Genomic DNA, 15195 nt, shown 5'->3' on the forward strand with positions numbered 1-15195 from the left:
AAATGAAGAGTTAATGGGTGCAGCACACCAACATGGCACATGTATACATATGTAACAAACCTGCACGTTGTGCACATGTACCCTAAAACTTAAAAGTATAATAAAAATAAAATAAAAACAACAACAACAACAACAACAACAACTTTTGAAAGCAGGCAGCATGGTTTGTGGGAACATTAATTATTATAACAAAATCCTTCTCATTGTATAGTTTATGAAGGTTTTGACATGATGGCATCATTTGATCCTCACAGTAGTCATCTCTGTAGTACAAGTGTGGAAATTGATTCCCAAACAAGTGAATGGGCTAACTAAAGGTTATAGGTAATAAATGTCAGAACTAGGATGTGACCTCTGATCTTTTATCTCTAAATCCAGTGTTTTGTTCTGTACAATGTCTCATGTACCCTTCGTGTACACGTAAGAAAACTAAAGAACAAAACAATATAATGAAGACAATAAGGAAAATAAAAGAGCATAGAAAGGAGAAAGCCACATGGGCTGGAATCATCCCTTGCAAGCAGCAGTAACAATGGCTTGAGGATTCTAGAGTTTGAGACAGCAAGTCTGCACCATATGTAGTGGCAGTTGAGTTTTGCTGAAAGATAAAATGCTCCTTTGGAAAGGTGAGGTAGGAAGCCAATAATTTGGTGGGATTAGTGATTGGATTTTTCTGAGATCATCCTTGGCTCTTTATGTAGGATGTGCATAGCATTCATTGGTTCTTCTCCAGTTCTGCAAAGCCGTGATGATTCTTTGAGGATTATGTAACAAATGTTTGTCAGCAGCTCTGCTGCTACTACCACATATTTTAACTTCATCAGAATTGACAGAGGGGGTGTGAGATTCTGAGGATCTACTATACCTCAAATGCAGTTGAGGTGGTTTCATCACACTGGCTGGACCAACATCTGTCTCTCATTTTGCCATGCTTGCTTTTCTGCCAAATATGTTCTTCCATCTTCTTTAATATAAAAGATTATGTGTGAAGAATAGTTGAGGAGTCGCTGGAGTAATGACACATTTGGGGTAGGGGATAATCCTGTGTTTTCATGTAGCTGTAGTGCTAGAATAAGATGCTTTATCCCTATCTCAAGTGGTACTCACTCACTGAAGCCTGTATTGGTGATTAAGGAACAAATTGAATTTGGATAGCCTTAGAGAAATAATTGGCTATGTTGACATACTCATCTCATTGAAAGTACAGGAAGTAATACAGGTAAATTACTGCTCCGGGACAAATTCTAGCCAACCCCAAGCAGCTGCTACATGAAATGTAAGTGAGCACAGGCTGGGGAGAACATGACTGGGTGACATCAGCCACTGAATACCCTCTGTACATGGTGGGCTGTGCCCACCAGGGAGGGGCTTGAGACAGTCTGGTATGTTCCCAGGATATTAGGAAGGGAAATTTTAAATTTTAAAAGGTTCTTCACCCAGATGAATTACACCCCAAGGCAACGAGACAATGAGCCAGGTGGGATTACTGGCCAGCTGGGAGTCATCTCTGTGAAATTGTGGAGAATTGATAGTTACCAGAGGATACGGAGAGAGTAATGTTCTCATTTCCCCGCAAAAAGAAAAGAAGTTGGAGGCCAGGTGCGGTGGCTCACGCCTGTAATCTCAGCACTTTGGGAGGCCGAGGCGGGCAGATCACAAGGTCAGGAGATCGAGACCATCCTGGCTAACACAGTGAAACCCCGTCTCTATTAAAAATACAAAAAATTAGCCAGGTGTGCTGGCAGGCACCTGTAGTCCCAGCTACTCAGGAGGCTGAGGCAGGAGAATCGCTTGAACCCAGGAAGCAGAAGTTGCAGTGAGCCGAGATCGCACCACTGCACTCCAGCCTGGGTGACAGAGCGAGACTCTGTCTCAAAAAAAAAAAAAAAAGAAAAAAGAAAAGAAGGTGGAGTCTGGGAATTACTGACCACTGAGCTTCATGTTAATCTTGACAAAGAACTGTAGAATGCATGATTCAAATGATGAGATGAAACATTTTAAAAAGGAAGTGATGATTATAAGAACCAGTCAGGATTCGTTAAGGATAAATCATGCTAGACTGTCCTGACTGCCTTTCCTGATACAGTGATTAGATGAGTAGACCAGGAAATTCTGTGGGCATGGCACATCTAGTTTTCAACAATGTACTTGTTAGAGTCTCTCTGGGCACTGTAGATGAGAAGGATCAATTTGGATTGGGTGATAGGATTGTAAGATGGATGCATACATCTTTGAACTATCTGCCTACCAAGTCTGACCTGATACCTCGGCAAGTTTCTTACCCTGGGAGGTTTAATTAATTCATTGAGTGGCAAATGCCAAATTGTTATGTCTCAAAAGCCCATTGGTAAATTGTTTGAGATTTAGAATCCATTTTTCTTTTCTTTCTTTTTTTATTTTTTAAAGTGTCAAGGTCTTGTCCAGGCTGGAGTACAACAGCATGATCACAGCTCACTGCAGTCTCTAACTCCTGGGCTCCAGTGATTCTCCTGCCTCAGCCTCCCAAGTAGCTGGGACTACAGGCACGCACCACCACACTCAGCTAATTTAAAAAAAAAATTTGTGTGTGGAGACAGGGGCTTGCTGTGGTGGCCAGACTGGTCTCAAACTCTTGTCCTCAAGCAGCCCTCCCACCTCAGCCTCCTGAGTTTCTAGGATTATAGACAAGAGCCACCACACCTGGCTAGAACCAATTTTTTTTATCAACACTGTTTTTTATTATATTTCCTAACAGATAAAACGCAAAGGCCTGTTGAACTCATTATGTATATGCACTGGAAGAATTTGGGTAATATGAACATTCTGTAAGACCATATCTTAGAGTAAGACAAATTTTGAGCTCTACCATGAAAACCAGAGGCATAATCATCTCCCTCTGCTTCAGGGAAAAGGCAACCATGGGGTGGATGGTGGGGTGGGTAGGCACCACCTGCTTCCTTCATAACCCATTTTGTGTTGCTGTAACGGAACACCTTGAGACTAGGTCATTTATGAAGAAGAGAGGTTTATTGATTTAGCTCATGGTTCTGGAGACTGGCAAATTCAAGATCAGATGGCCACTTCTGGTGAGAGCCTTGTGCTGCGTCTTAATATGCTGGAGAAGTGGCAGGTGAAGCAAGTGCATGCAAAGAGAGCAAAACACAGAGGCAACCTCACTTTATAACAATCCACTCTCTTGGGAACAATTTCATTCCCACGAGAACTAACCCAGTCTCGAGAGAAAGACATTCATCTATCTTAATGAACTAATCACCTCTTAAAAGCACGACTTCCCTATGCTGCCACCTTGACAACCAAGCCTCAACATGAGTTTTAGCAGGGACAAACCATTTTCAAAGCATAGCACTTCTTATGGCATTGATGGGAGATCTTCCCAAGGGTTGGAAGCTAGAACTGTGGGGGCCAAGCCTTCTGCTATCATTACCACCCAGGGCCCCACAAGTTTGTGTCCTTGACTAAACTGAAGAACACTGAAAGTCATGGAAGGTTTTTAAAGTAGAGGAGCCAACACCATTTATCAGATTTGTATTTTAGAAAAAAGTTTATTCTGTCTGCAAGCTGGATAATGGATTAGAGAAGCCAAGTCTTAGACAAACAAATTAAAAGACTGTGGCAGTAACTCGGGTGAGAAAGAATGAAAGTAGGTGATTTGAGAGATATTTGAAGGGCAGATTGGTATGCCTGGGCAATAACAATGTGAGGAAAGAGGGAGAGTAAAAATAAGGACTCAGGTTTCTGACTTGGGCATTTGAGTAGATAATGGTACTAGATATTGGTGTGAAAAATAACATAAAGAAAAGACAGAGGAGGGGTCAGTTTTGGCCATAAAGACTCAGAGGTACCTGGGGGACATCAAGGAGATGTCCAGTAGACTTACCAGCTGGATGCATGCTTCTACAGTTTAGGAGAGAAATCTGGGCCAACGATATAATGCTGAATTAATTTTACACCATTTGCATCCACCAAGTGTTTTTACGTGTGGTTCCTCTCTGGAGACCTTCCTTCTTTGTAGAGATTCTTTAGTGATATTTTACTGTCTTGCTATTTTCTCAGGAGCATAGTCTCATTAAGGCAATGTACTTTCAGTTCAAACTGTTCTATCTACGGTGATTGGCTTGACAGAATTCTGGTTCCATGCAATTATGTCTATAATAAGTAAAGAAAGAATAAACACATCAGGCTACCCTAGATATTTCAAGGCATTCTGCTTCATCATTAATCATGAGTAGCCTAGAAAAATAGAAGTTTTATAAGTATCTCCTAAATGGTAATCTGCAGTGTCTGTTAATTTACTTTACCTAGAGAAAGTATGGTCTTAGAAATTGATTTTGCTGTTATATTCTACAGCCTTATAAATCACTTTCCCTGGTGCATGAATAATTAAAGAGAGCAATCCATACATTTCTGAGCTTGTTAACATTTTTGAAACAAAACCAGATACTAAACATGACATTTTCCTGTTGCTGTCTGGAATTTCTATGCCTGGTGTCTAGGCTCATTCCCATTATTTACTTTGGCTCCAATGCTTGGCTTCTTCTTTCAAGTTGTTTGCCTTCAGTGTTTACAGAAGTGGATTCCCACAACCAAGGAAAGGGTGGTTAATGAGTCAGTCTGGAAGTGCTATTTTTGTTATCGTGGACTAGAGTCAGCTCACCATAATTAGTGATATTTTGTGAAAGCAACGCAGAGCACCTAGGCAGTGCCATTTCCTTGGCTCTTCTCAGTATGTGCAGGGAACACACCCGTGTGCACACTCACAGATACGTGTTTGCCACATTTTAGTACAACTCCGTTTCTGCATTCCACTGTAAGAAAGAATACAGTCTTAATACAGTGCAAATGCATGCAATCTAGACTCTGGGTTTGTATTGTCAGTGTGCTTGTGACTGCCTTAAGAGGGTAGAAAGCTTTGCTGCTTTCGTGGTGTAGTGAGCATTGAAAAGTGAAACAGATGCTGTCACGTGTCTTTTCCTCCTTGTTTGCCTGGCTTAGGCTTAAGATGCTTTGATTATGTTATAGACCCCTATAAGATTAAGCCTAATTGTGTTATTGTATGTGTAGTTTTAGCATTTTGTGATTTAAGTTTTTCCTCTTTAAGTTCTTGCTTATTGATACCTCACTAGTGTCTGTCACTGTGACATACGGTGGACCTACCCAGGGCCATTCAAATGGAGCACAGAACTTACATGTTTATTTATTTTTGAAAAATAGTAATATGTAGTAGGGACTTAATATTTTTTAATGAAGTAGATTTTAGATGATTATTTTCAATATAAATGCTGTGTTAGCAAATAATAAAAACAAACATCAATTCATACATTCTCTCTTTCTTTAACTGTTTCTATCACTAGATTTAACTTTGCCTGTGACAGAAACTTACAGTCAGGTTAAAAGGATAGGCTTGGGTTCACATCTCAGAACCACCATTTTCTATGTGGCGTTGGGCTGGTTATTGAACTTCTCTAAGCTTCAGTTCCTTCCTCCATAAAATGGTTGGCCCATAAGGATTTTGTTCGGATTAAATGAGATGATGTATGTAAAGCTTTTAATGCCCACATGTAGCAAGTGCTTGATAAAGATTAGGTGCTATTATTATTATCTACCTCTTCAGCGTGTGCCCTACCTTCAAACTGCCCAGTAGGCTTGTGTTTGTCCCTTAGATTACTTGGTTTTTATCATATGGATTCACTGCCATTTTAGAGCTTTTTATTGGACTCTTTTTCACCTTTCTGTTAAAACTTCTCTGTGATTTCTCTGGGTCATGAGTCATATCTTTTGCTTTTGTGAACTCTCCCATCCTATTGAATTCATCAATTTCCAAAATAGACCTCAACCCATCTTTGGTTCTTTGGAAAATGCTTTCTTGTAGAGATGTTGCACTAAATCTCCCGTCTCTTCCTTCCTCCCCCCTACAACAAGCCATCTTTACTTCTTGAATTTATTCACAGAGCATATTTGGTTCCGAGTTACTTTCAGAAGGTAAGTTAAAGTATAGAACCGTCATCCATTTAGCTCACGACAAGCTGCTTTTTCTCCTTTGGGCTAATTTGAAAGTTTATCTTTAAGAATCTGCCTGGTCTTCTGAAGGTCTACTGTTTCCATTTCTAACCAAATTTAACTTTATCCATGTTTTCTTTTTCTTCTTTTTTTGTTCTTTCCATTACGCAACATTCTTCAAGATGTGGACGAGTGCCTGGAACCAAACGTCTGCGCAAATGGTGATTGTTCCAACCTTGAAGGCTCCTACATGTGTTCATGCCACAAAGGCTATACCCGGACTCCGGACCACAAGCACTGTAGAGGTAAATACTGTGATCAAGTTTCCCATTTTTATTTAAACTTCATTTAAATATAGATTAGAGCAATTAGCCTTAGAAAAGGGAACCCTGCTACCTGTGTTTATTTTGACCGAGCGACTTAGAGCACATATTGGTTGGCTTGGCTGAAAGTGGCTCCTTGCTGTGGTTAAATACAGAGCATATCTATTTACATAAAGGGAAACGATGTATTTTTAGAGAGTGTCTGTGAGCCACAGATCGGTTCATCTAAATTTTTTTTTCTCATTATAAAAGCAATACACACAGTTGCACAACTCTGTGAATATATTAAAAACCATTGAATTGTACATTTTAAATGGAATTGTATAGCATGGGAATTATTTCTGAATAAAATTGATATGAAAGTAACCAATATACACTCATTTTAGAAAATTTAGCAAATAGAGAAAAAAGAAAAGTAACAATCTTACATAATGTCATTAATGAATATTCATATTTCGTGGATATTGTATATAAAGATGTTCTATGTATAATTTTATATCTTGCTTTTTGCCATTTAATAGTATACCTACCATAAGTGTTTTACATTCCATTCATAACTTTTTTTCAAACGTTATTTTTAGAGGCTGCACAATATTCTAGTATATTCCTATATCACAGTTTTCTTGCTCTTCTTTAGGTATTGAACAAACAAAAAATTTTCAGCTTCTCATTAGTGAACAAAACTGGTACAGGTCTTTTTTTTTTTTTTTTTTTTTTTTTTTTGAGCTGAAGTCTCACTGTGTTGCCCAGGCTAGAGTGCAGTGGCATGATCTTGGCTCATTGCAACCTCCACCCTCCAAGTTCAAGTGATTCTCCTGCCTCAGCCTCCCGAGTAGCTGGGATTACAGGCACACGCCACCACGCCCGACTAATTTTTGTTTGTTTGTTTGTTTCTTTGTTTTGGGTGTTTTTTTGAGGTGGAGTCTTGCTCTCTCCCCCAGGCTGGAGTGCTGTGGCATGATCTTGACTCACTGCAACCCCTGCCTCCTGGGTTCTAGCGAATCTCCTGCCTCAGCCTCCTGAGTAGCTGGGATTACAGGTGCCTCCCACCATGCCCAGCTAATTTTTATATTTTTAGTAGAGACAGGGTTTCACCATGTTGGGTAGGCTGGTCTTGAATGCCTGACCTCGGGTGATCTGCCCACCTAGGCCTCCCAAATTGCTGAGATTACAGGCGTGAGCCACCACACCTGGCTAGGTCTCTTTTAAAAATAAACTTTTGTCTGAACTTTAGAATTATTTCCTTATTCATAAAAGTGGAATTATTGGGTAAAATTTTTTTTTTTTTTTTTTTTGGAGACAGAGTCTTGCTCTGTCGCCCAGGCTAGAGTGCAGTAGTACGATCTTGGCTCACTGCAACCTCCGCCTCCCAGGTTCAAGCGATTCTCCTGCCTCAGCCGCCTGAGTAGCTGGGACTACAGGCACCCGCCATCATGCCCAGCTAATTTTTGTATTTTTAGTAAAGACGAGGTTTCACCATATTGGTCAGGCTGGTCTCGAACTCCTGACCTTTTGATCCACCTGCCTCAGCCTCCCAAAGTGCTGGGATTACAGGCATGAGCCACCACGCCTGGCAAAAATGTTCTGAATTTTTTTACTATTTGGTTTTTTTTTTAATTGGCATGTAATAATTGTCCATATTGTACATATTTATGGGGCACACAGTGATGTTTTGATACATATATTGTATCATGGTCTTTTTACTATTTTTACAGGAGAACATTCTCATTTCATATATATATTTATTTTAATTCTGAAAAGGCTTAATTTTTTTATATGTTCATTCCCTTTAGCGATTCTCTGAACACTTCTAATTTTTAAACATTTATTTTATATACTTAACATTTATATTTGTTTTTAAAATTTCCATTAATATCATTTCTCATTTATCCGGCTTTTTATTTGTTTAATCAATGTATACGAACTCTTTATATATGTAATACATATATAAACGTATGTACATGTGGCCGGACACAGCACTTTGGGAGGCCCAAGGCAGATGGATCACCTGAAGTCAGGAGTTCGAGACCAGCTTGGCCAACATGGTGAAACCCTGTCTCTACTAAAAATACAAAAATTAGCCGGGCTTGGTGGCATGCGCATGTAATCCCAGCTACTTAGGAGGCTGAGACACAAGAATCACTTGAACCCGAGAAGCAGAGGTTGCAGTGAACTGAGATCGTGCCACTGCACACCAGCCTGAGTGACAGAGCAAGACTCAAAATAGAGTCTCAATGATGATAATAATAATAATAATAATAAATATGTGTACATTACGTATACATTTTTGGTGGTACACTGTTGTAATTTCTCCAAGGCTTCCCTAATTTTCCTTTTTATGATTTTTTAAAAATTTTTTCTTATGGCCAAATCTGTGGATTTTTTTCTTTTCTGCTTACTTTTACATCTAAAAGTATGTTCTAGCAAAGGGTAAAAGAGGAAATAAGTAAACATTTTCTTCTTAAGTGTCTTGATGTAAGTGAAGGATGTAGGGTGATAATTAATTTCTCACTATGGTAGGCAAGTAGTAAATGAATACCCTGGTATCCTGTAAGAATCGAGGCCTCTTCCACTGGCAGTAGGGAACATGCAGGCATCTGGATTTGATGCCTTGCTCCAATAATACAACAGAGCAACAGTGGATCTTGGCCACTCCTAGTGGAACATCTAACGTGGGCACACCTCCATTTCTCCTGGTCCCTTCTCTTTTGGCTCACATCCACAGTTTCCTACTGATTCCTTAAGCCAGGTATCTCCTCAGACCAAATTAAATATGAGAAGCATCTGAAAGGTATTATTTCTTCCCCCATACACTGGATCAATGGTGGATGAGGATCTCAAGCCTTAGGAGTCATGGTTAATCTTTGATTGCTATATCTAGTTTATTTTCATATCCTGCCATTTTATCTTCTTTCATCCTAATCTGCCTAATTTTTTTCATCTGCTTGTTGATAAAAACTCTTGTAATCTGTCCTCCTCTTTCATAGTCCAAACTTACTTGTCACAGTTGCATTCTTCAGCTAGCATTCTCTGACCTATCCAAATCAATGTCACAACTGCCCTGTGAAGATTCTTCACAGGGCAGTACTTGGACCCAAGTACTTGTTCAAGATTATCCTGCCTTTCATATTCATCTTCTTCCTCACTGCTTACCTGATGTGGCTCTTCCAGTGGTTCATGGTATGACCTTGGGTGAATAATCTCAGGTTTCCAGACATTGTGTCATCCCTAAAATTAGGGGATCAGACTCTCTAATGGGATGCTCAAAGTAGCACATGTTGAATGAATGGCTCATTACCACTGTCTTGCTCTTGGCTGTTGCCATCCCAGCTGAGCCTGGGAAAGATTGGTTGGGGAGACAAGACAACTAACAGCAATCTAATATCCAAGATTATAATATATATATAATGTCTAAAGTCTAGTATTTAGTTTTGTTTTTTTAAAAAAAGGCAGCATATCGGATGCTAGTCCTGATGCGTAGAAGCTGTGTGAGCTTGGATAAGTTACGGTATCTTACTTCACTAAGCCTTACTTTTCTCATCTGCAAATAAAAGGGAGCAATAATGGTACCTGCTAGAGTTGATATGAGGATTGCAGGAAATAATACAGGGACAGAGATCATGTAGAGAGAATGAGTTAAAGCAGGGGCAGAGCATGACATGGTGGTGGTGGTGTTTGCTAAATTAGAGGCATAAACAAAGTTTCGTTAAAGCCAAGAAGTGTGTGGCTAACTCTGCTTGTGTGCGTCTGGGAAAGCTTCACAAAGGTATTGCTATTTGAACTTAGTCTTGAAGTACTGAATACAAAGGGGAGTAAAACTTGGCAGGCAGAGGAAACAGCATATGCCAAAGCTTAGAGGTGAGAAAGGGCTATTACTTCCACTTGGCATTTAACCTTGACCTCTACTCCGATTCTAATGGCGTCTTCCCATTACAGCCTGGGATGCATTACCTCATTCTTCCCACATGATCTCTGTCCCTGTATTATTTCATGCAATCCTCATATCAGCTCTAGTAGGAAGCATTATTGTTCCCTTTTTTTTGCAGATGAGAAAGCTCACACAGCTTCTACACGTCAGAGCTAGGATCTAATATACTGCTTTATTTATTTATTTATTTATTTATTTATTTATTTATTTATTTATTTATTGAGATGGAGTCTCGCTTTGTCGCCCAGGCTGGAGTGCAGTGGTGCGATCTCGGCGCACTGCAACCTCTGCCTCCCAGGTTCAAGTGATTCTTCTGCCTCAGCCTCCTGGGCAGCTGGGACTACAGGCACGTGCCATCACACCTGGCTAATTTTTGTATTTTTAGTAGAGATGGGGTTTCACCATGTTAGCCAGAATGGTCTCCTGACCTTGTGATCCGCCCACCTCGGCCTCCCAAAGTGCTGGTATTACAAGCATCAGCCATTACACCCGGCCCTGCCTTTTCAAAACAAAACAAAACAAAACAAAAACAAAAAACTAAACACTAGACTTTATTTGGATTTCACAAGTTTTTCCAGTCACGTCCTCTTTCTGTTCCAGGATCCAATCCAGGATACTACACTGCATTTAGTTGTCTAGTCTCCCCAATGAATCTTTCCCTAGTTTTCATGATCTTATCTATCTTAAAGAGTATAGGCCAGAATCCTGTAGCTTTTCCCCACTCTGGATCCATCTGATGTTTTTCTCATGATTAAACTGGGGTCATGGGTTTTTGGGAAGAAGAACACAGAGGTGAAAGGCTCTGGTCCTCACATAATGTCAGGTGTACATTCACATGTCGGGGGTGTGTGATATTCTTGGCACAAAAGAAAGAAGACATTTGTCCAGCATTCCTATTTTATTAGAAAGCTTTCTTTTGGCTCAGAAATGCTATCCCTCATTAGAAAAGAAAAATATTTTTATCCCTAGAATTAATCTATCTTTGTTCCCTTGGTCATTTTAAAGACCCAAAGATCACCTTGTGCAAGATAACTGTGTTGCCTCAAGTTATTCCAAGTGTATGTGTCATTACTTGTCATGAATTACTCCTGACATTCTTAGCAACATAAATGAGTCAGTTACGTAAGATGTCTGGCATAGCCTGATAGTCCTTGGAATGGAGGGTCTATCTCTGTTGCAGACATCTTCACATGGGAATGCTTAATTTGTTGTCTTCTATGAGAAAGTCAAAAAGATTCCAAAGCACTAAAAATGTTGTCAGATGTTATGTGAGATCCAGCCAGCTACAAGAACTATTGTTGGTCTTCAGTTCGTGAACTGACATCTCAAGTATTTTATAGAATGTGCTAAAAGAAAATAGTGACGTAGGCTGATCTTTGCTGGCAACCATTCCTAAAGCTAAGAGACTTACAGTGTTTGAAAGGTATAAAATAATCTTTAAAATGAAAGTTACCTTGTTTATTTTCTCTATGGACAGACAATATTGGCAGCCAGGAATTATTTATAAATCAAAGAGACCAAGAACACAATTGGTAAAACAAAAGTTTTTAATCAACTAAAGTAATTGCTATGAAATATTAAATAAAATAAGAAACAAATTTTTGAACTCCAATTACATTAATACTTTGAGCTATTTCAGGAAACTATGTCAGTATTTCAGTAGCAATTTCAACTATTTCAGGGAGGGATAACCTGATACTTTGCTTATATCTGGATACATTTTAAAAGTTAATGCCCCATTAGAGGTTAAGAAATGAAACTTTGCGGCTAGGTGTGGTGGCTAACGCCTGTAATCCTAGCACTTTGGGAGAACGAGGCAGGCGGATCATGAGGTCAAGAGATCAAGACCATCCTGGCCAACATGGTGAAACTCCCTCTCTACTAAAAATACAAAAATGAGCTGGGCGGGAGGCTGAGGCAGGAGAATCGCTTGAACCCGGGAGACGGAGGTTGCAGTGAGCCGAGATAGCGCCACTGCACTCCAGCTTGGCGACAGAGCGAGACTCTGTCTCAAAAAAAAAAAAAAAAGAAGTTTGGCTCAGGAGAAACAGGTAATTGTCAATAATACTTGAGTGAAAGGCCTATACAGTTAATTGAGTTTTCCTGGCAGACACTTTTAGATGCATTTTAAATAAGAAAATTTGAAGAAAACCACAGTCATACATTGATCTATAGGACATGGTTTTTAAAAAACAAATCCCTCTATTTTATTTATTACTCCCTTTAGATTAGGGCTCCTTTCTCCTCCTGTGAGTATAGGGCTAAAGTGTTTTATATCTATTCCCTTCGGTAATCTTCACAACAAACCTGTCATGTAGGTGATGAAGATCAGTTGTACCTACCATGTTTTAATAATCATAAACTCTTATAAGTTGGCTAGCCATTCAGCAGAACATTCTGAGGCTGTATTTGCACTGACAAGGCAAGACAGAATTATCTGCTTAGGTCGGACCAATATAATGGCCAAACAAAAACATCTGGAAGACTCTACTCTTACCAGACGTGTTCAAGTTATTGATGAAGCCAGTCCTTTGCTTCAGTTGTATAACTTCGTATACATGACATTTTCTAGGACACTTATTAAGAATTATCTTCTTTCTCAGTTAGTGATTTTATCTTGTCAAAGCATGTTTAAAAATCCTCACTTATCACTTTCTCCTTTGGTATTCAGCAGTCATCATAATACTACCATTTCTCTTGGCTTTCCTTGTTACTTTGAAAATGAGCCAGAGTTCTTTATACAACTGTTTGGCCTTATAGTTCAACTTCTAGACAAAGTAGAATTATCTGTTTCCTTCCATAACTGCCTATGTTTTTGGTTTTGTTTTTCAAATTCCTAGTCGAGTTTTCCTTCTGACTTCTTTCATGCAACTAAACAGGTCTGCAAACTATCTGAGCGACATTATATTGCATCAGGTTCTGCCTTCTGTTTGCAGCTCTAAAATATTTCATGTTGTATTCCAAGACACTGATGGTGAGGAGTATGATTATTATAAATAGCTTATTGATTTATTGTCTATTTTTAGTTATTTCTATTCTATAGATCAGTATACTGAGGTTGATACAACAGCATGGGTGGAGTGATAAATACTAAAGTGTGTAGTGCCAGACATAAGAAGTACTATTATTTTTGTTACACTAATCCCAGAATGCATTGCAGGGAGCACTGCATTCTCCTGGGTAGTCTCTTTTTCAGAAAAATTGCCGTTGTTGTGTTTGCAGATATTGATGAATGTCAGCAAGGGAATCTATGTGTAAACGGGCAGTGCAAAAATACCGAGGGCTCCTTCAGGTGCACCTGTGGACAGGGGTACCAGCTGTCGGCAGCTAAAGACCAGTGTGAAGGTAAGAGGGTAGTAACATGAACTACTGAAACTTCAGCTTAAAGCACCTGGTCTGAAAAAGGTACGCTCAATCAAGTGAGTTTACCTTTTAAAAATTACCCAGATAATTGCATTATAGTGCCAGAAAGCCAGGACTTAAACATAAGTTAGGAAAGTCAATAAAACAAGATTGAAGACAGTTAAATTTGAAAACCTATGGCATTAGCTATCAATGGCTAGGCATTAGTATTAAGAAGAAAAATTATTGCTTTCTGTGTAATTCTTTACTACAGAAGGTAATTTCCATTTAAACATGTAAATTAATTTAAAGTTTTTATATACTTGGATTTCAGCAATTAGAAAGTCATTATATCGGGCTGCTTTATGCTGTGGAATGTTAATAACCTTAATTTTTGTATTTAACGTTGAAAAATTTTGTCTTTTAAAAAAATCGCTAAAGAAGATTTCTCAATAAAACTGTAATAATGTCCCCCTTAGAGAGAAAGTTTGCAAAATATGTTCTGTTCCTACAGCTGATAGTGAGGATTCTGGATTTGCTAGGGTTGACCTTAGACTTTTTAAAGAAACATTTCATTGAATTGCACACAGAAATACTTCACTTCCCAATAAGTATGTGCTTCCTGAACTTGAAGATATTATGATCTCACCTGTGTCAACCACAAGTGTCCAGAGTTCTTGAGAGGAAACGCCATTTCTTATTTAAGAACAGAATCCACACTGTATAAGGCCATTGTTTCATAAATAAACAATATCCACGTCTTCATGTATACTCTGAATATTTGAGAAGCAAAAAAGTCTCCTGAGATAGTATTACAAAAGCGACAATACATGATGGTCATTACTTGTATCAACATTGTCTTTCTAGAATTTACACTGATCCAATTGAGACTGATTGAAAATGTTTTTGAAGCACCACTTCCACAGTTTCTTTGTATTCTCTTGCTCATAGACATTGATGAATGCCAGCACCGTCATCTCTGTGCTCATGGGCAGTGCAGGAACACTGAGGGCTCTTTTCAATGTGTGTGTGACCAGGGTTACAGAGCATCTGGGCTTGGAGACCACTGTGAAGGTAAGAATTGCTCCTGATTTCAGAATCATAAAATGCCCAGATCGGAGGGAAATCTGGGCATCATCTCAGCCTTGATCTTTGAACCTCATCTCTTGATTTCATAGTGAAGACATTAGGTCCCTGCAAAGTGTCTTCCCCGGGGTCACACAAATAATTCAAAGAAGGGAGTAGAGTCCAGATTATCTTTGCACTGCTTGGAGCTGTCTTTTAGACTTGTGCCAGCCAAAGGCATAAAAGAATCAGTTTAACTTTACCAGCTATAGATGGTTTATCCTGGGTACATAGTTCTGAACTGTAACACCTTATTTATGCAGAACCAACTTCTAAATGTTCCAAATAAGTAAATACAACTTAATTTTCCAGGCAATTAGAAGGTTTTTCAGAGCCAAACATCAATTCAGTTTTTGGCTTTTTGCATAAAATATTTCTGAAAGATATCCCACATGTCCAGTATCGTGCAGTCATCAACCACTTTCACTACTTGTTTGGCTAAGAAGCTCTCTGCAGTGGTTGGGTGACTGAACCAGGCCT

At 39.1% G+C, this 15195-nt stretch overlaps 1 protein-coding gene across 65 annotated transcripts in view; it reads left to right on the forward strand.

Annotated features, from left to right (window-relative positions):
• The window catches only part of LTBP1 (latent transforming growth factor beta binding protein 1), a 452557-nt gene that overhangs the window by 340028 nt on the left and 97334 nt on the right, over positions 1–15195 (forward strand). For all 65 annotated transcript variants that reach the window (XM_011532853.3, XM_011532857.3, XM_011532861.3 and 62 more), the window contains 3 exons: positions 6180–6302; positions 13471–13593; positions 14542–14664. In XM_011532853.3, the coding sequence (XP_011531155.1) occupies positions 6180–6302; positions 13471–13593; positions 14542–14664 (369 nt within the window). The remainder of the gene's footprint in view (positions 1–6179; positions 6303–13470; positions 13594–14541; positions 14665–15195) is intronic.

This window comes from Homo sapiens, chromosome 2 (genome assembly GCF_000001405.40).
Source record: "Homo sapiens chromosome 2, GRCh38.p14 Primary Assembly".
NCBI lineage: Eukaryota > Metazoa > Chordata > Mammalia > Primates > Hominidae > Homo > Homo sapiens.